Source organism: Homo sapiens, chromosome 2 (assembly GCF_000001405.40).
Source record: "Homo sapiens chromosome 2, GRCh38.p14 Primary Assembly".
In the NCBI taxonomy this organism is placed as follows: Eukaryota; Metazoa; Chordata; class Mammalia; order Primates; family Hominidae; genus Homo; species Homo sapiens.
Window position 1 is genome coordinate 212108344 of NC_000002.12, and position 22913 is coordinate 212131256.

The 22913-nt window shown below is 34.7% G+C and overlaps 1 protein-coding gene across 10 annotated transcripts in view; it reads right to left on the minus strand.

The window, feature by feature from the left end:
* Nucleotides 1-22913, minus strand: part of ERBB4 (erb-b2 receptor tyrosine kinase 4) — a 1163086-nt gene that overhangs the window by 732627 nt on the left and 407546 nt on the right. For all 10 annotated transcript variants that reach the window (NM_001042599.2, NM_005235.3, NM_001439006.1 and 7 more), the window contains exon 2: nt 16409-16560. In NM_001042599.2, the coding sequence (NP_001036064.1) occupies nt 16409-16560 (152 nt within the window). The remainder of the gene's footprint in view (nt 1-16408; nt 16561-22913) is intronic.

The window sequence follows — 22913 nt, forward strand, 5'->3', positions numbered from 1 at the left end:
TAAAATCTAATAGCTGAGATGCTGGTTAATAAAGTTTAAGCCCCCTAAGACAAACCACCTTAGCATCTTAGCATTTTAATAAGAGACTAATAAGTGATAAGCACTCAAGATCAAAGGAATGCAGTTTTAAAGAAAGAAAGATAAGCAGTGTGTTCAGGGGTCATGCCAGTATTTTTTATACCATACTTTAAAACTCTCCAAGTCCCTGTTGGATACAACCTAAATAAGGAATGCCATAAATGAATAAACTTATAAAGGAAAATCAGAGGGAGTTTTGGGGTAAAGCAGTGATTCCAGGAGTACATTCAACTATTCCCAATCACTTCACTAAACCTGTCATGGAAATGTTAGAAATGGGTCTGCTTTTTTTTTTTTTTTTTTTTTTCAGAACCAAAGTATAATTGAATAGCACAGAGCATCTGCTGAGGAAGTAGCGTCACATTTTAAGAAGACAGAAGAGTCACAAAGAATAAAAAGACTTTAAAGTTTTCTAAACAACTTTCTACCAAATGCATGAAATCTTGTCCCTCCTTTCCTGATTGCTCTTGGCTGAGTATCTATGGTGGTAGGAGAGTACAGGATAGCAGGTTTCTGTGATGGAGATGGCAGCGCACAGTAGGAGGGATGTGAGAATTGGGGACAGAGAGATACACATTCAAGTCCTCACTTCTCCCTTTTTCTTGCTGCCTTGTCCTACTCTGCAGAATGTTGGTAATAATGACAATGTCATGGATCATTGTGGGAATGTATATAAGAAACACTCAGGGAGGGGAAGAAAATGAACAAACATCTTTGGGTGCCTACAACATGCCAGCATCTTTAATTTTGTCTTTTATTTTTGCTGCTTTGTGGTGCCAATGGCCCGGTTCCTAGAAAATACAAGGTGTTCAGTTAAGAGTTCCGGTCCATTTTCCCATCTAACAAGGCACTCCATTATGTTGTAAGAATGCTCTGATTGTTAGCAAAACCTTTATTTTAAGCCAAAATCTGCCTCCTTTCAGCTTCTGCCTAATGCTGCCTTCTGGAACAACTCAAAACTAGGCCACTCCCTTTTCTATGAGAGCCCTTCAAATATCTGAAAACAATTACTATGGTTCCCTTCAGTACTCTCCTCACCAAGGTCAACACACCCACTTCTTTCAGCTATTACTTTTGAGACATGGCTTTCTAAAAACATATTGTCCCAATTGCCTATTATAGACACACTCTAGTCAGTCAATTCTATCCTTACATGCAAGGTCTTTATCTGAACATCATAGTCCAAATGAAGTCTGAGAAGAGCTGTTGAATCTGTGCTGAGGAGCTTACTAACCAATTGATTCTTCTATCCCTTTAGCAGCATTGAAGCTAGGAGGATACATGATTGTTTCATGTGTATATTTTAGGGTAAAAGAGAGCATTAAGCAAGAGCGTGATCAAACAATTCAATATTAATAAATAATAAGATATATTTCTGCTTGAAAACTCACTGCAACAATTTGTTGTGACGTTTCCCTTTCTGTAAGCCATGAGGATAGCATAAATTCTACAATGAAGATGCAGAGGGTATGAATTGAGCTTAATTATCTTTAAAGTTAAATTTTGTTATGAGCTCTGAAGTGAGTCACTTCAGAATTTCCTGAGTTTAACTTCTGCCAGCTTTTGATACATGACCTCAAGCAAGTCAGGTAACCTTTCTGTGCCTCGTTGCCCTCATCAGTAAGATGAACTTGTCCCACTGCTTCACAGGGGTAGTGAGAATTTCTCTTAAAAAGACCAATTGTGCATAAATGCTAAGATAACTGCAGCAAAAGTTGCCTTATAAATCTTGACTAGAGGAGTCAAAGGTGTATAGGTGAAGCTATCCCACTCAAAGGATTCGAAAAATCTAAGCTATTTGGAAAACACTGTGGAGCTCATTTAGCATTTGTTTTCATTATTAGCATATTCCTGTGCTTGTGGCTTCCTCTCAGCTTATCCAAATCCACCCGTCCCCAGTATATTTATTGCTTACTCTTCTTCTCTTCCAAGACTTGACTTCTTTCCTGTTACCATATTCCTCTTTATTTGCACCACATGTTAGTTAGCTTGTGCCCTCTGCTTCCTTAGGAAGGATGTCAGATTGCTGACCCCATGGGCTTTGACACTTTTCCAGCAGCCTATTTCACATGGAGTAATAAAGCAGTCACTGCTGCTACCGCCTCACTGAAATAGATGAGAGTTGAGAACAAACCACCACACTAAGGCGAAGTCCACTGATATCTAAGTCCTTTAACTGATAATAGGAAAAATTCAAATGGGACTTTGCTAGAGCAGAGTTATCTGCAAATTTTATCACCGGACTGCTTTCAAATTAGCTCCTGCAATAAAAAAGCTCTTCATCTTAATTCTAAATGCATTGTAATTACAATCAGCAAACAAAAGGTTAAGCCAGCCTCTTCAGGGGACTACATTTCTTGGAAAGACACCTAGATTATTGCCCCAAATGGCTGAAGCACAACTAGCTGTTTACTGAGCTTAACTTCTTGTTTGTTGAATCTGATTACTGTTTGAAATAAATGCAGTGGTCATCTAGTCTTTGCAAATAAAAGTTTACTGATAAATGTTTTATTAACACTTTCATTCTCTGGCCACCCGCCTACCTGACACTTGAATGAGCCCTAACAGTGTACCTTACCTTACTTGGGATGCAAAGCACATTTCCAATGAGGGGCTCTTCCTGAAAAAGTAATAGAAATTCAAGGAACCTGCCATCAGGTATCTTTGGCAACAATGCTCTGTCCTTCCTTTGTCCCTGTTACTGCCTGGACGACACATCTGCCAAATGTCCCAGACTGGAGATCTCAGGATCTTTTTATCTACTTCTTCACCCACACCCTTTATATGCAGTTAGTTGTTAAGTCTTTATTAAGTCTTTCCTTATAATGATTATTGAATACATCTCTGCCTTCAACTGCCACTCCAAATAACTGATTCCAGGCTCTCATTAAACTAATTCCTTGGAGTTTGAAATAACGCCATACCCATACAAGTAAATTCCTCCAAATAATACTTTCTTCCTGCTACTGGATTTGTTACAGCTTATTAGTAAGCTGACAAGTCTTAAAGGCTCCCCACAATTTGGTCTTCCGTTTTCAGCCTTATGTCCTAACATTTCACAATTTTGTTGCATCTTATCTCTTTCCCCCTATGCTATGGTAAATACTTTCTCTTTTTTGCTTTCCTCCACATCTGTGAATAGAATTTTTAAAAAGGAGAGGATTTCCCAGGTGGAAATGCACCTAGAATACCTTCTCCTTTTTCTCTATTCTTTTTTTTTTTATAATTAACTCACATTTTGTTTCTTCCATGAATCTTCTTATAACTGCCCCCCTGCCAAATGCATGCTACTCAATCATCTATTAATTAACTCACAACCCTTTTTTAAAAAAATACCAGGCAGGGTGCTAGGTACTGGGGATATAAAGAAAGATAAGATGTAGCTCTTGTTTTAAGGCGCTCTTGAGTTCAATCTGGGAATGTCTGTGGCATTTACCTTTTTTGGCACTATACAACCTTTTTTTTTTGCACTTATTAATTTGGGCTAGGTACTGTCAACTATTACAGATAGCACTGTACTTCTTTACAAAACATAGTGCCATGAATTTCAAAGAGTTGGCAGTCAGTAAACATCTGCTGAATGTTTAATTCTTTTTTATTTTTATTTTATTTTAGAAACAGGATCTCTAAAAAACTTCTGTCACCCAGGGTGGAGTGCAGTGGTACAATCATAGCTCCTTACAGCCTCAAACTCCTGGGCTCAAATGATCCTCCCATCTTAGCCTCCGGAATAGGTAGGAGCACAGGCAGATCTTTTGTAGAAACAAGGTCTCACTTTGCTGCCCAGGCTGATCTCAAACTCCTGGCTTCAAGCAATCATCCTCCTTGGTCTCTGTTTAATTCTTTTGACTATAAAACCTGAATAGCAAAGGAGGTGAATTTGTCTCTCAAGTTCTCGGTACAGTTTTCCTTATACCCACTGTCCCCAGCACTGAGTAATCTTAGCTCTGTCTGCTCAGGGTCCCCAAATTTTGTGGCTCTACTGAGGCCTACCTTTTTCAATCTAGTTCCGAAATTTTTATTTTATTTTTTTTTTAATGAAAACCTCCCTTCCTTGTACTGATTTTTCTAAAATCCTGGTTTCTTTAAGTAACAAATGGGTCATTGGTAAATAGTAGGCAGCAGCAAGACAAAGTCCAAGTGTGTGAAGTTTAAAGTGAAAGAACTGGTTTAAAATGCTCACTTTGCCCATTAGCTCTGTGGTCCCGAGAAAGTCATTTAATTCTCTGAGCCTGTTTCATCACTTACAAAATGTGAATAACAACACTTATTCATAGGGTTGTAATAAGGAGTGGGAGATGGTGTTAGGCATAAAACCAGCACAGTGCCCTGAACCTATTTTAACAAATGGTATTTCCGAGGTGTTAGTCCATGCCAACATGAAACGTGAGTCTAAGGAAGCTTATAAATACTGTTTCTTTTTATTACAAAGATTATAATTCCAGTATAACAAAATTCACTGGAAGAAAACCATTTAACACAGCTTATTATCTGTTCAAAAAATAAAAGTTCACTGAACATTTACTCTGTACAATCTTCATAAATTGACAAAAATGCACAGTATATCTCACCACCTAACACAGGCCTAAACAATGTGACATACGGTATAGTACCAGTAGGTACTTAGGACTATGGAGAAACAATGGAAGACATTAATTCTGCTTGTCTTGATGGTAAGGGTGGGGATGAAAATACAGATCGAATTTGGGGGAGCATGTTAAGGTTAGGGGAATAGAGATAGCTTATATTTAGAACAAGTTAGTAGAGACTGTATGATTTTCCAAATAGAGAAGGGTAAAAAGACATTCCATAGAGGAAGAAAATTACATGCAAAACCACAGAGACCTTAGTTTATAAAGAGTAACTGGGTATGGCCGGGTGCGGTGGCTCACGCCTGTAATCCCGGCACTTTGAGAGGCTGAGGAGGGTTGATCATGAGGTCAGGAGATCGAGACCATCCTGGCTAACACGGTGAAACCCGTCTCTACTAAAAATACAAAAAATTAGCTGGGTGTGGTGGTGGATGCCTGCAGTCCCAGCTACTTGGGAGGCTGAGGCAGGAGAATGGTGTGAACCCGGGAGGCGGAGCTTGCAGTGAGCCGAGATCATGCCACCGCACTCCAGCCTCAGTGACAGAGCGAGACTCCATCTCAAAAAAAAAAAAAAAAAAAAAAAAAAAAAAGGAATTGGACATAAGGGATTTGTTACTGGAGGGATTCTCAGGTATTCGAGGCAGGTCAGAGAAGGAGAAAGTGAAAGTTGTGAAGGCTACATGACTCTGCTCAAGTCATGCAACTCAGCCAATAAGCTGCACTACCTATATGTCTGTTAGGTTTCTATGTAAGAGTGTAAATATATAAGCTAAGTATCCCATGTTTCCATTATGGGTAGTATATCATTTATTATTAACCAAATCATTTCATAGGCTGTAAGATGAAAGGTACTACAGATTCTGCAAGACACTATAAAGAGGAACTTCAGTTGGAAAAGTAAGTAATGTAAAGTAATTCCTGTGCATTTTTTTCCTGATTATGACTTTTTATTTAAAGTCATAAATAAAAGAATTCTTATGGCTATAAAATTTGCTTACTTATTTATTTCACAAGTATTTGCTGAGCAGCCACCCCATGATAGACACTGTGTACTATGCTAGAATTCTGCAGTGAACTAGACATGGGCTTTGTCTGGTACTTGTTATTTAGGAGTGTTGACAGAATTTACAAATACTTAAATAATTGTCATAGTAGAAGTGCTACAAAGAAGCAGAGGGTGCTATGAATGTATGTAATGGGAGGAATTTAGACTAGGTAGTTAGTAAAATATCTCTGAAGAAATTATTTATGATGGAGACCTAAAAAACCAGAACAGAACTTAGCCAGCACATGAATAATTAGGTGTATCCATATGTTCATGGGGGAGAAAATCTGAGAACGAGAGAAAGGTCAGTAGAGTCAGAAAGAGCTGAATACCAAAAGGAAGTTGGTTATAATTGAAAGATGGCCAGTGAGTTTTCATGTCATTAGTGACAGTGGGAAGACAAAGCTTATTGGTAGGGACCAAACAATTGTAGGAATTTAATAAGAATTTTGGACTTTATCCTAAGAGGATGGAAAGTTTTAAGAAGGAAAGTAATACAATTCAGATATGTAATCCATATTTGCTTGTACTTTCTCTGTGTTTGTCTTTCATGAATGCTTCCCAATGCTTCATTGATGCCTCATTGAGTTTTTGATGAATACTTCTCATTGCTTCTGCGAAATGATGTTGAAACAACCCTCACAAACTATGTAGAGTCTTTGTACTTCTTCAGCCATTGACTGCCTCTTAAAAACAACCAAGTGTTTGACTTGCAATTTTACCTCTCTGAAAATACAAATCACCACCACCCAAAAACTGAACCTCCAAAAAAGCTTTGTAAAAACTTACTGTCAAGTCTTCAGAGCATGGCTCAATAATGGTATACAGGGTATCAAAGAAGAAAGGAAGAAGCCTAATAGGGTTAGGTACAGCCAACCAGCTCTTGTTGAGGGGCTACAAGGTGCTGGGCATCATGATAGACACTTTTATTTTTGGAAAGAGTAGCACTAAATTATTTAAGAGGATTTACTTTAACATTCAATTACATATTCTTATTTTCAGGTAGAAATTTAATGATAATGATTTTGAAGAGGCCTTTGTTTACTAAAATACCTTAATTTTACCACATTCATTATAAATTTTACTATATTATTTTTATAATAAATGAGTTCAAATTAGAGATCAGGAGAAATAATTACCATATTTCTAAATGTGACAGTTTTCACATTTTATTTTTACACTTTTGATCCTTAAATTATACTCTATGTGACCAACGAGAGACCTTTAAAATTGATTTGGTCTCATGCAAAATTGTTCATCAAGTTTAAATCTGTCTTTTTTTTGAAAGAAAACAAAGTGTTTCATTTTAAGAGTCAGAGAAAAATAAAGCTAATGAAAATATATGTAGTATATTTTGAAATTTTGAAGAAAAAAAGGTATTGATTATATTCCAATGTTTGGTTTTTAGAATTAAAAGATAGCTCATTGCCAATATACTTCTTTAACAACATCACATAAATTGTGTTCTCTCTCTTTGAATAAAGGTCCTTGCTGTTCCCAAATAAAAGAAGTAAAGAAATAACTTTTACATGCTCAATTTCCCTGAGCAAAGTATATCAAAGAATCATAGAGTAAAATGGATTTGTTACTTGACTTCTCTAGTTATTTGTTTATTTTGTTTCATTTTTTTTGTAGAAACAGGGTCTCACCATGTTCCTCGGGCTAGTCTCAAACTCCTGGGCTCAAGCAATCCTCCCACCTAGGCCTTCCAAAGTGTTGTGATTGCAGGTGTGAGCCACTGTGCCTGGATGTATTTTTCTCATTTAAAATTAAGACAAGCCTATAAATTCATTATATGCACATTTTGAAGCCAAATTTAAATACCACAATGCCCAGAGGTATAAAGAAACACTTTGCATCTGCTCACCATCCTAATAAATTAATTTTTAATTTAAATATATTTGCAACAAAGGTATATTTGTGGAAACTGCTTTGCAATTAGGGGCTAAAAAAACTTTTTGCAAACAGTTTTATTGTTATTTATTATTATTGAAATAATAGATTGTTTTCATTATTTAGTAGGTTATACTTAACTAGAAACATTATATAAGGTTAATATTATATACTAATTTGATTCTTGATTCCTGGAAAGCGGTTGCTAATTTACATTTATATATGCATAGATATAAATGGTCACTATATTTACAATATTTGTATATACTATACTTATATGTATATCTTTATATATATTAGATTGATAAATACTAGTCTATTTATATTAGATTGATAAATACTAGTCTATTTTTTATTTGTATCATTCCTTCTAATACTTCTTCAAATATTTACTATCAGTTATACATCTTTATCATAGATACCATTTTATTTATAGTTTTTTAATATGCTTAAGATACAGAGGAAACTCATAGATGTACATATTTTGCTGGTTTATTTATTGTTGTTTTTTCTTGAGACAGGGTTTTCCTCTGTCACACAGGTTTGAGTGTAGTGGCACAATCATAGTTCTCTGCAGCCTCCAACTCTTGGACTCACATGATCCTCCCACCTCAGCCTCCTGAGTAGGTGGGATTACAGGCATGTGCCGCCACACTGGTTAAATTTTAAAACATTTGTAGAGACAGGGTCTCACTATGTTACCCAAACTTTTGGTCTCAAGCAATCCTCCTACCTCAGCCTCCCAAAGTGCTGGGATTACAGGTGTGAGTCACAGCATCAGCCTATTGAAAATATTTTTATTTAACATTTAATTGAAATGATTAAAAAGAAAATTTAAAATAAATGTTTAAATAAATGCCAAATAAAGAATATAGACCTTTTTTATCCTTTGATTTATCTTGTGGAATTTCTGAAAGAGCATCAGAATTTTGAGTCAATGTATATTTTTAGATTAAATGGTACTTAACCTCTGAGAAAAAAAAATCCTAAGCCAAGTGTAAATTGCATAGCTTTTTCAAATGTAATACAAGTTCCATGATTAGATTTAGTACAAAATCAAGTTTCAATTTAAAAGCCAGCCGTAAATACACACATACAAAATTGCATATGTATTATCTTTAACGGCCTTAGAAACAGCTTTCAGATACTATCAAAGCTTTGAAAATTCTATTTAACCCAAAATGTCTGCTTTGGCCTAAATGACATGTTACAATATTATTCTCTCTGTGTCCTTTTTAGCATTCTTTATCTCACCCTGCTAAGAGGTCATCATGTTAATGCAGTATCTAAATATGTAACATTTTACCACAAAAGCAATTTTACATGAAATTAAAACAGAAAGAATTAAAGAAAAAGTTCCATCACCATCTCTTTTTTAATGCTTGTTTACCCAACCAATAGTTTCTTGAAGGTACAGTTTCCTTGAATCTAATGATGGCGAAGTCTAGGTATTTCAATGTTGATCTTGTAATCCTCTCTTGCCACCTGTCTCAATTAGTGACATGGAAGAAAAACATAGACTACTGTGCTCAATGAATAGATACTTACAGATTACAAATGCTTGATACAGAATTCTCATTTACTTGTTCACCTTTTGAGTGACAAATATACCACTTCATTATCTTACAAAGTTTATCAGGAATACAAATTCAGGCTTGTATAGTAGGAACTATACAGTCAGATCAAAATGTGTGCATAACTGAAATATGCATGCTGTATCTGAAAATGTTGCACTTAAATCATCTTTTTTGGGAAATATGAGATTGTAATTCATGTGGACCCACTTTGTTATGTCATAGATGTTTAATTTAAATGGTGTTTTCCTCTCTAATGTTTCTAAAATATGACAAGTTTTCTCATCCTGATTCTCTCTCTCCAACATAATTTCTGCCACACAAGTCATTCTATCTGGTATTTAATAAGCTAAAAATAAATATAGATGGGTGTTGGTAGCTAGTATTTGAACAAACTATTCAGTAAATCATTTTCTAACTCAAAATAATAAGTACTGTATAAATTATCTATTTATTTTGAAATATGTACTCTTCAATGTAGGGTTTTTCTAAATCATGCTATGCAGCAGACAGCTTAGCCCGGACACAGAGTTAAAAGTACATGAGGAAGATATGGAAAACAGACACAAACATAAAAACCATCCCCCACACTGTTGGATTTAATTCTGGTCATGTGCTTCTAATTGCCAGAGGACAATGAAAAGGAAGCACTAAAGCTAGAAGTAGGCTAAACGTAAATATTTTAGAATTTCATATTAACTCTCAATGGTTGTTCATCCTTACTGAAAACAGGGAAGGAATAGATCAAGACATGGTTACTTGTTGCAACTTGAAACTCATTGTCAAACATCACTCCTGACTTTATTGTAACAAAACTGTGCTAATGAAGCCAAAGTCTTTGGCTGCAGTAAGATTGGCAGTGTTTTGCTGTCTGAGTTGCAGCTTTCTCTGCCTTCCTACAAATGTTTGTCATTGGTCAGAAGAGGAATATTCATGAGAAAGAGAATGAAATAGTATAGATCCTTTACTAGCAGTGGAAAAGTAATGCAAATTTTATGTCTTACGAAGAGTAGTTGAAAAGCAACATCCTCAGAAGAATCCCATACATATCCTAATAAAAGAGGATGACAATTCCATAGCATTATAAAATGTTAATTATTAACTAAAGACAAAGGCTATATTTGAATTTAAAAATAGGACATTTTCTCTGGTAGAGAAAAATAAACTATTTGCATGATTTCTCCAAAGTTTTTTTAAAAAAAAATAGAAATTTTTAGATGGCATTATTTCTTGTACATTCAAAAACAGCCATATAGCTCTGCCAAATATATATAAAAGCAAATTATGTTTTTCAAATGTGTTACCTTTTCATAATAACATGCATTTGTTATTCATTATCTGAGAGAAGTTATCTTTTTTAATCTTTTTGCTTCAAAAAACTATACTTTCTGACTTTTTCAAAGTCATTGCCTTTTACTATCAATAATAGAGTATTAATGTTATCTTAAAAGGCATCTTTATATATTACTTTATTTTTATTCATTTATTAGAAATAAAAGACATGTATAATGATTAAAATTTAAGGTTTCTAGACTACAGCATAAGGAGTTCCAATGAATTACGATATTGTAACTATTCCACATCCATGCATCAACTGTTAAATAAATTCATCTCCTTATAATCTTAATGTATACTATTTCTAAAATAATTTGCACACAACTAAATTCAAGCCACAGATTAAAAATTATTACCCGTTATAGCAATGACTGAGGATAGGTGTTAACACTCACTATATGATCTACATTTCATAGTATACTTCTTTACACATAATTGACACATTATAGTTATTTGCTTAAAGTTAATATATAAAACAGAAAATAAATTTAAAATGTAAAAGCTGGTGGGTCAGGCACCTTTTTAGAAGCACTGAGTTATTAAGTGCCAGCAGTAGCAAAGAAGACCAATGGAATGACAAAGGAGAGAAAGCTCCCAAGAATTCTAATGAGGGTAAAAGGTCTAATAGTTCATTCCCATTACTTACTACATTTTGCCTTGTTTTAAAGAGTTCACAAAGTGTAAGACAATAGCACAAAATCTGTGATTTTTATGCCTCGCTGCTTTCTATTATATGTCTTAACCTTGTGATGGTGATAAAATACATAATAAATAAGTTTTAGGGCCTTTTTCTAGCCAGCAATGTGGTTCCTTGGTAGTTGAATGTTAAACATAGTAAACTGGATTTCTCTTCCCAAAAAGAAATGCAAGAACTGGAGGTCAGAAGAAAGCTGGCATGAAAGGTGTTTACAGAGATAAGCATCAAGATTGCTGTAATAAAAGCGTCTTGAAAAGAATGCATTTAAAAGCATTTCAACAAAATGTATCTAACAAAGATTAAGGAAAGTATCTACAAAACATTAAAATTATTTAAAAGTGCATCTTCAATTCAATTGCAAAGGCTCACTTTTGCTGTGTTCTTGAAATCTCAGGAGACGTACTAGACAAGGCATTTTAGTGTACTAAAAGGAAACAATCTTTTTCTAGTTTAAGGGGAAAAGGGGGAAATTACTATAAAGTTGCAAGAGTAGAGGTGGAAATGGCTGGATTGCAATCAGTCATCAGAAGTAGTGTAGGAAACAGAAATGAATGGTTCCCCAAATTACTATTTGGGGTAAATATTGCTTTTTTCTACTCTGTTTCTGTTTCAGTGTGTTGGCTTTGTTCTATCTGCGCAGCTCTCTATGATATTCAAACCACAAGACAAAAGATGGCTGTGTGGTGATGGCATTTGAGTAGTCAAGAACCTAATAGAGAAACTGAATGCTATTGGTGACAATTCCAAATCCTCATGGGAAGGGATTTTGATTGTCTTATTCCCACATACCTGGCCTGTGTGTGAGGTCACACTGAAATAACATGACTCACATGTTTATCTAGACAATAGTTCATATATGAAATTGGGGTCTATAATTTAAGACAAATACTAATTCATTTGTCCATTCAACAAATATTTAATGAATATTTACTATGTCTTATCACTGTCTTAGTCATAAATGTTGAATATGCAGATAGTGAATAAGATAAATGAGGTATCAGGGAAAATTGTCACAATTCATAGAAATTAGAGTGGTTTCATACAAAATAAAACAAATGCCAAAGCAAAACACTACGACCTCACTAGCTAGAGATGAAAATACGGATAAAAATCCTTTAAAAATTAAAGTAATTTCTTAAGTTCCTAAAGACAGAAATGAATCCAGAATGAAATTTAAGATGACTATTGATCCTCTAAATACATCATTTGGGTCACTCTTAGAGGAAGGAAACTGTAAAACCATTATAAGAAATTTGGTGCATAAATGTAGATGAGAACTATGTCTATAATAGGTATATACAAATTTATTATCCACTCATACAATTTGAAACTTATAGGAAATAATGGTAAAATCACTATATTTTCTTTACATGGACTCCACTTACTATAATGTGTTAATACTGGACAGATTACATATTTTGGAGAGAAGCTACTAAGAGCACAAATAAGCCATAATGTGGTTTTAGGAAGGAATGAAATTTTATATTAAATGGAGAGCTTTGTAGCATATTCAAAGGTATAATTTGAAATAATGTATCATCCAATACAGTAGTATTATGAAGATTTTGGCAAATAGTCTCTGCTTTCAGGGCCCAGTAAGAAAAGTAACTACTAATACTGAGCTCACCAAAAAAACAGACAATGGGGCATCCAGAGTATTCTGGTTTTTTGTTTGTTTGTTTGTTTGTTTTTGAGACGGAGTCTCGCTGTGTTGCACAGGCTGGAGTGCAGTGGTGTGATCTCAGCTCACTGCAGCCTCCACCTCCTGGATTCTCCTTCCTCAGCCTCCCAAGTACAGATGCCTGCAACCACACCTAATTAATTTTTGTATTTTTAGTCGAGACGAGGTTTCACTATGTTGGCCAGGCTGGTCTCAAACTCCTCAAGTGATCTGCCCACCTCAGCCTCTCAAATTGCTGGGATTACAGGCATGAGCCTCCACACCTGGTTAAAGAGTATTCTGTTCTTGAACCACTCCTTGATCTTACTCTTTTTAATCTCCATTGACTACCTTATCCAATTACAAAATGTTAACTTGTCACTTGGATGCTGATGTCTCCTAAATATCTCCACCATCGACGTTCTCTACCTCTCCAGTGGAGTATTCTATTTCACCTGAAACTTTTTCTTCATCAACACTATACTATAGATTCCCTGGGAGTAGGAGTCACATGTGATTTATTTGCAATGTATATTCCTAGTGTCTAAAACAGTACACACTAAGTACACATTTATTAACTCTGATTCAGGGGCTTCCTTCTAAGCCTTATACTACTCCCATTGAAATGCCCTTCTCTTACAACCCACTCACCTCTTGAGTTTCTGTTCATTTTCTCAGGATTTAATTCAAGCACTCCTTTGATGAAACTTTTCCTGAATCCTTTAGATAACCTAGCATGCACTCCACCCCTACCATTAACATAGGACCACACCTTCTTTCTGATTCTGGGTTCTTATTTGTGTCTTAGTAATGATAATATTTTATATTTATATATATATATATGTATATAAACTCATACATACACACACCCCACATACAAACACATATATATCACATATAAAACATAATTTATCATATATGTATATAGATACACAAACACATATATGTAATATGCCTATATATACACACATATACGTATACAGTACTTATATATTACATATCTGTCATCCTCAACATGATTGTTGAAGCCAAGGACAATAAATGTCATTGTTTACTTGGGATTGCAGATATGTTTTCTAAGGATTAGAAAGGTGTAATACATAAGTACTGCATATGACATGAATGGGTACATGTCATAATATAAATGATTTTTTATAAAAAAGATATGTGGAACAAAAAATAAGTTAGAAAACAAAAACTAAGTGCTATTAGAATTATCTTTAAATACATATATTAAAATAAAGATATGCACATGGATTAGTACAAAGTTTAGATGAACTTTTAGAGATGCTAGTTAGGAACCAAAATTTACTTTTGTAAAAGAAACAGCTTACTTTTTATCCAGGCAGAAATCTTGACCCTCCTTATCTTACTTTTTCCAAATCTGTTCATTCTAATAATGTATCTTACTTTTTAATTCAAAATGGTTCCCAACACAGTATAGACCATATATCAAAAATATCTACATGCTACTTTCATATTGCTAAAGGTTAAATATGGACTAAAGTCTATTTTTTATCATTCCATGCTGTTACCTTACAAGACCATAAGAATTATTATAAAATATATAAAAAGACATTTTTATATATTATTTAATATAATGACTGTCATTTACAATAGTCACAACTATTTTTGTTGTCAGTGAAATTTAGTTCCACGTACAGAAAAGTAAAGCAAACATAAGAAGAAAAACAAAGATCTTTAGATTGCATTTTAAAATTTTTCTATTATTCCAATCTAATAGACTGTTTAAATTATTTCCTTTCCCTGCTTCAGAATTCAGCTTTCTTTGTTAGTTTGTCTATTCTATAAAGTCATTGAGTTTCTTGTCATATGTTCTAGGATAGCTTGCATGTGCTCCCTTCTTTGAACAACAGCTCCCTCAAAAAGTAAGTTCTTTTGGGCCGGGCGCGGTGGCTCACGCCTGTAATCCCAGCACTTTGGGAGGCCGAGGAGGGCGGATTGCCTGAGCTCAGGAGGTTGAGACCATCCTGGCTAACACAGTGAAACTCCTGTCTCCACTAAAGCACAAAAAATTAGCCGGGCGTGGCGGCATGCGCCTGTAATCCCAGCTACCTGGGATACTGAGGCAGGAGAATTGCTTGAACTCGTGAGGCGGAGGTTGCAATGAGCCGATATCACACCACTGCGCTCCAGCCAGGGCGACAGAGCAAGACTCCATCTCACAAAACAAAACAAAACAAAACAAAGAAAAAACAAAAAAGTAAGTTCTTTTAAGGCCCTCTAATTCTATGATTCAGATATCCTTTACTATTTTTTATAAACAAAGACATCAAAATTAAACATCATAATTATTAAAATCTTTTGACACATAACTTACAGAAACAGAGCTCTATCAATCAAGTAGAGAATAAGGAAATACCTTCAGTTCATTTGCTTTACTAGTCCAACTATGAGAGTCGTTTTAAAAATGGATATCATAAGCCACACAGTGTTATTTATGTTTTGAGGTGGTTCATTTTCTGAGGTTGTTACCAATTTTAGACATATTTAGTACATTGAAAATATTTAAATATCACTCCTTTTCACGACTTATCTAAGTATAGAATTATTAACATTATCATAGATCTCTAAATAATTTACTATCCACTAACTGGCTTACTATATCAGTATTCAAAACATTTAACCTAAATGTATACGAAAGTGCTCCTAAGAAGTTTGTAAAGGTTACTGAAAACAAGATCAAATGTATTCTAGGGAAGCTATTATTTAAAATGTATATTAGTAATTCTTATATAAGCATAAATTCTTAATTGTGCAAAGACCACATCCCCATCTCACTTTGTCAAAGGCCCCTTCAAGTTCAGATTTTCCCAAACATATTCCAGTTAAAGCAAAACTTAAGAAACTGTAAGCATTAGCACTAACAGCCAGTTTAACAGAGTATAGATCAATGAAAGCAAAAAATAATAATAATAATTTCCAAAAGGACTGATTGTCTGAGCAACTTCAAGTATACATATACACATTTGTGTTCTTGCACGTATTGATCTATGTAAATACTTGTGATTTCCTATGAGTCTACTTTAAATAATTTGTAGGTTTTCAAAACCAGATGCTTTTCTTTCCTTTTCTTTTCTTTTTTTTTAATAACAGTGTTAGTCTCCTTATGTGATATAAAATAATCTAAAAGTCTGAAGTGGCAGAAAAGAGGCAGAAATGGAGACGACTGGCTAGAGTTATCAATTGTTATCTGATTGGTCCTCTGACTCTCCTAGTTCACAGCTTGTCAGAAAAAGATTTGCTAGATGTCATGTACTACATGGTGACAGAATCTTTTCTCAATCTTAGGGCAACAGCAACTGCTTTAAACTCAGGAGCGTCAGTCATTATGGCTTTGTTACTCTTGTTCTTTTCCTGGGTGCGTTTCGCTATCTCTTATCTTTTGCCTATAGTCACAGTGCCTGCCAGGCAGAAGAGCACCCCTTCCAGGTATCAGCACACAGGTCTGCCTGTATGCATCATGACGCCACTGTCCATTCACAAAGAAGAGAAAGAAAGCCACAGCTTTACCCGCAGGAAGGAGAGGTCCCGGTTGTGCTCAATGCTGGTTATCTCCAGGTTGCCCATGACAACCTCACAGTTTTCATAGTACTTGCGCAAGGCTCGGTACTGCTGTTCCAGGTCAGAGAGAGAGCTCAGTTTATTCTCCGTTCCTGCACACACTGCAAAGACAAGAAGATACACGTGAAATTACATAACCTTTATATGATATGCGCAATGATAATATCTTTCTCAAAACTCTCTATTCCACAAGCCTATCCCAGTTCTCTGAATATAAATATTTCGATCGTCATTAAGAGGCATAGACCCACGCACTGATGAACATTTTCACTTTTATATTCCCAAATTACATGTGCTAATCACAGAGAGTAGGAAGGCATAGATTCCACAGAAATATATAGCAAGGAGATAAACTTAATCCCATTTGTTATGACCATATAAAGCAAGTAAATACATTTACTTTTATTTAAACATTTTTTTTTTTAGGACATATGATTTACTCTGTTTTCTAATTGGGTAATTCTACAAATGTAAATAAATCAAAATCAAAAGATAGTGAAAGCAACAATTTTATTTTAAAATCATAGTTATTATATCAGCTGTTCCAGCTGAGTAAATTTTTTACTAAATAAACTAGCACCTACAAGACCTCAAACATGCGTTTTTATTTTTATTTTTTAACTTTTATTTTAAGTTCAGGGGTACATACGCAGGCTTGTTTACATAGGTAAACCTGTGGCATGGGGGTTATTCATACAGATTATTTCATCACCCAGCTATTAAGCCTAGAACCCATTAGTTATTTTTCCTGATCCTCTCCCTCCTCCCAACTTCCATTCTCCAATAGGCCCCAGGGTATGTTTTTCTCCTCTATGTGTCCATGTGTTCTCATCATTTAGCTCCCACTTATAAATAAGAACTGCAGTATTTGGTTTTCTGTTCCTGCTTTAGTTTGCTAAGGATAATAGCTTCTAGCTCCATCCATGTCTCTCCAAAGGACATGATTTCATTCTTCTTTATGGCTGCATAGTATTCCATGGTATATATGTACCAGATTTTCTTTATCCAGTCTATTATTGATGGGCATTTAGGGTGATTCCATGTCTTTTCTATTGGGAATAGTGCTGCAGTGAGCATAAACGTGCATGTGTCATTGTAATAAAATGATTTATATTCCTTTAGGTATATACCCAGTAATGGGATTGCTAGGTTGAATGGTATTTCTGTCTTTAGGTCTAAACTGAAATATTTGTAAACATATACTACAAACCAGATATGTAAAAAATACAACTTTTATTGTTATCAACTAGAGTATCACTGTATATATTCATGAGTTTCTGAGGTATAATGGACTGATAATAAATAATCTGTCTGCCAAGTTCTATTCCTATGTGAGCACACAAGTTTACACAAGTTTTTGTTTTGTTTTTTAATTTTGTGGCTGGGCATGGTGGCTCACACCTGTTATCGCAGCACTTTGGGAGGCCGACGCAGTTGGATTACCTGAGGTCAGGAGTTCCCAACCTAGCCAACATGGAGAAACCCTGTCTCTACCAAAAATACAAAAATTAGCTGGGCGTGGTAGCTCATGCCTGTAATCCCAGCTACTCGGGAGCCTGAGGCAGGAGAATAACTTGAATCTGGGAGGAGGAGGTTGCAGTGAGCCAAGATCATGCCACTGCACTCCTAGCCTGAGCAACAGAGTGAGACTCTGTCTCAAAAAAAAAAAAAAAAAAAAAAAAATTGTGTGTGACTTCCAGAAGCCAGATTTTTAGATACTATTCTTATGGTTTATATACCTGCCAGAACACAATCTTCACCACTTAATGTACTGACTCTAATCCTAAGTAGATTAAAAATAGATATTATAAATCTATTAATAATGGTATGTAAAGAAAATGGTTTGGTAAGTTACATAAGATATACTGAATTTAAGGCAAGATACAAAGTGGAGACTGCAAACATACTAGGAACACAGCTTAGTAATAAGGTAATATATACATTCATGTCTTATATACACAGAAGTAAAAAAGATGCTATGATGCCTGATGTTGTTTTCAAAGGGATGAGTTCCTGCAGAGGAAGGAAAACACATCTAGATGGGTATAGCCTAATAATTAGGACCACCTTAAAGCCTGTTTTTGCCTATGAACACATCGAAAATAACAAAAATCTTAATCCAAAAATCTTGAAAAATAGTGTATGTTTGTAACCATAGTGGAAATTCATTATAAAAACAAAATCCAAACTTTTAAAGTCTGGATTTCTAAAGTTCACCAAAAAGTATATTTTCTAGAAGTACTCTGTTACCAGCTAAATTGTGTGTCCTAAAAGACAAGTTGAAGTCCTAATTCCCATTACTTAGAATGTGACCTTACTTGGAAATAGGGTCTTCCTAGATGTAAATCAAATTAAGATGAGGTAGGTCATTTGGGTGTTCCCTAATTCAATATAATGATAATAAGACAAACTTGTTCAACCTGAAGCTATCAGGCCACATGTAGCCCAGGATGACATTGAATGTGGCCCAACACAAATTCATAAACTTTCTTAAAACATTATATTTTTTGCTGGGTGCAGCGGCTCATGCCTGTAATCCCAGCACTTTGGGAGGCCAAGGTGGGCGGATCACGAGGTCAGGAGATCGAGACCATCCTGGTCAACACAGTGAAACCCCGTCTCAACTAAAAATACAAACAATTAGCCGGGCCTGGTGGCGGGTGCCTGTAGTCCCAGCTACTCGGGAGGCTGAGGCAGGAGAATGGCATGAACCCGGGAGGTGGAGCTTGCCGTGAGCCGAGATTGCGCCACTGCACTCCAGCCTGGGCAACAGAGCGAGACTCCATCTCATAAATAAATAAATATTTAAAAAAACACATTATGTTTTTTGAATCAGCTATTGTTAGTGTATTTTACGTGCAACCCAAGACAATTCTTTTTTCGATGTGGACCAGGGAAGCCAAAGATTGGACGGCCCTGATATAAGAAGAGGAAAATACCACGTGCACACAAAGACAATCAGGAAAGAAAGCCCCGTGACCAGAAAGGCAAAGGGTAGAGCTATGTACCTACAAGCCAAGGAATGCCAAAGATTGATGGCCACCACCAGAAGCTAGAGAGTGGCAAGGAAGAATTCTACCTGGAGTTTCAGAGGGAGAATGAGCCTGCTGTCACCTTGATTTTCAACTTCTAACCTCCAGGACAGTGAGAGAATAAATCGCTATTGTTTTAAGCCACCCACTCTGTGGTATGTTGTTACTATTTGTCTCTAAATTCCGCATTAAATAAATGTTAAAAATCACTTTCTCTCTCTCCAGGGTCCTATCAGCTTATAACCTCCATGCTACACTTCCATTGCTTCCTCCAAGCCCTTTATACACCATGCTGGAATTCATTTATTGCCTTTGAGAATGCAGATTTTGTAGAGTGATACGGATGGATGCTATGGTAAATACCTCTAAAATCTTTAATATCCATTTTCCAATTCCTTCATTGTAATAGACTGCACAATTTTTAGCTGGACACATGGTCACCCAAAATAAAGATTATATTTCTCTCCTCCCCTTAGAGGTAAGTTTGGCCAGTGGACTAAGTTCTGACATGTTGCATGACACCTTCCCAGAACTTGGTTTCAAACACGGTTGAAGCCTGACTTTGCCTGGTTTATTCTTCATAAGTTCTTCCAGCCTGATGCCAGAAATGCAGATGTCATGGCTAAAATATGAGCCATCATCTTGGACCGTAAGAATGAGTGACACACCTTAGAGATGGCTGAGAACTGAGCTAAAAGGAAGTAGGATTTTCAAGCAATAGATATTTTACATTGTCATATTATCAATACCATCAAGATAATGATGAATATTGGCCCCACCTGCTAAAATGTTACACACAGAAAGGATTAAATTCTAGTTGTGTTATATGCTTTTGACTTTGAGTAAATTTAACTATTGTGCTTGGTTTGACTGAATTTGCTAAATATATAATGAAATTACAGTATCATTCCTAACCATAACGACATTTTATTGGCTCTGTGGAATGTTCTCTTATTATTAAAACAAACACCCAGGAAGAAATGATATTCAACATAAGGAGAAGAAGAAGAAAAAGTTGATTCATGTGCATATTCCTTATAAATCAAGATCGAAGTCCAAGATATTTTTCATTATATATTAAAGGCCCTTTTGGAAAAAACCTTAATCCATGATCTTTATTTTATTGCTCCCAGTAAATTTATATAAAATCTTTATAAACTAATAAAATGACTGTTGAGAAAAGGTATTATTATATGGGTTTATGAAATATAGATTTTAATTATCTCAAATTCCAATGAGGATGAACATATTTTAGTACAACCAATTATGGGGATAATATAAGCATCCATTAATAAATTTGCTGCACCATTTCTAAAGTATATCCAATAACACATTGCAACCTATATATAATTTATGTTGTATAGTTTCTCTCAATTGGAAATAATACTCATACTTTAATATTAATATAAAAAATCAATAGGTAATAATCTAAATGAAAATGTTCTCAAAATAGTTGGTGTATTCTGACCTTTTATATAGAAGCTTAAACAACCTTTGAGAGATGCATCTATTACTGTAACTGCAATATCTAGGTATTTTTGCATAATTCCCATTCTACATATATAAAAAGGTATACAATATTATATCCAATATAATATAATATTATACAATAATATTCAAATCTGGATAGTTATATATTCATAAGTTCTCATTAATATTCATTTAAATATTTGTATGGTATAAATACTTAGGATTTTGTTTAAACTTCTTATAATGAACATATGCTACCCTACATTGCAATAATTCATTTACTTGATATCAGAACATTTATAACTCGTACTCAGAAAATGGCCCTCAACTAAAAAAAATTGCTATTCCTCAATAAATGATCAGGTAAGTTTTGTATATACCTTCTTAAAATGGAAAATTTGAATAAGTATGTTTAGAAATATTTTTTGACAAAAAAAGATCCTCCAAAAAACAAAATTAGATTAATCACAATACTCTATTTGCCAAACATTCTAGTCTTTGCAGTTTTTTTTACTACATGCTGTTCAATTTAGTAGATATTTTTGTCTCATTGAGGCTTTCATTTATGTTTGATTCAAACTATCTAGAATCCACAGTATATTCATCATAAATTTTATCTTGAAAGACACACTTGATTTTTGAAGAACTGGTTTGGATAGGCTCATAGAAATCATTTGTAGTTGTTTTTGTGGAGCCTCCACTGAGTAACTCACAACTTTCATTTGTCAATTGATTTTACAATCAAGCAATGTATACAAGACAACGCTTAAACCATCAAGTTTCATTGATTTCACAAAGCTGTTTATCAAAACACAATTGAAAAATTGTCTTCAGCAGCCAAAACAAGTTTAACAAAATTCAGCCACCTTTGTCAATACTATTATAAAGTCCTTAAACTATAAGCCTACAATAGTTCAAGCATCAAAAATCCAAAATTTACATGTGATCCCTAAAGTTTTCATTCCAAATGTAACTCCAGGAGTAAAGCTGGATGTGAGGTCCTAATAAAATCCTCAATTATTCTATTTGTATTGATTCTGTTACAAATGTAGCTATACTTCCAAACACAGGCTTTTTATTTTTCTTAAGATTTATATCCAACAGCGTGTGAACCATATAATCCTCATTCAGTAAAAAAGTAAAAAGTTGGTAGCAACATAAAAAGGTTGGTTAACAGTGGATTAATTTGATTCATGGGGAAATATATTAAAAGTAAAATAATGAAACCTTAACAATATCTATATTAAAACTAAAAATTAATTATCGCCTCCAAGCTTGTTCTGGCTATGAAATCAGCACTCTATTTGCTTACAAAGAAAAGATGATGGGAATTAAAAAAAGAGAATTACCTAACTCTCAGATCAAATGCCTATTGCGAGATATCAGTTTATCAATTAAGAAATGAATAATTATTTATTTGGCATCTACTCGTCTCCAAATGTCATGAAAAAATAATTACTGAGAAAAATTTCCAAGTTGTTTCATAGGGGCTTGTATAGTTTTACAAGGCACGTAGCAAGGAAAGCAGTGAGCAGTATATTTAAGTCATGTATATATTGTGTGTGCATAATTCAAAGGCTGGCTACATAAAATATGGAACTTGATAAAAAATTCTTTTGCTGATTTAACACCAATAAGTACTTTCCTTTTCAGAAATGTTAATAAATGCACCTTGGATTTATGCATATTGTTGGGCATTAAAAAATCTAGCATTGCAGTAAACATCAAAATACAAAATATTGAAGACCACAGAAGAAGCAATAACTATTTCCAGTGACTATTAATGAATGCTATTATAGTTATGCAGAGATGGCAAGTTTTGTTATCTCTATGTTCAAAATACATCCCCAAATGGGTCCAAACTTGTCACTTCCACTGCTATAGTCATTTAATCCAAAACACTGCTATCCCTTCCCTGGACTTACACAGCGGCCTCCTAACTAATGTCCAGG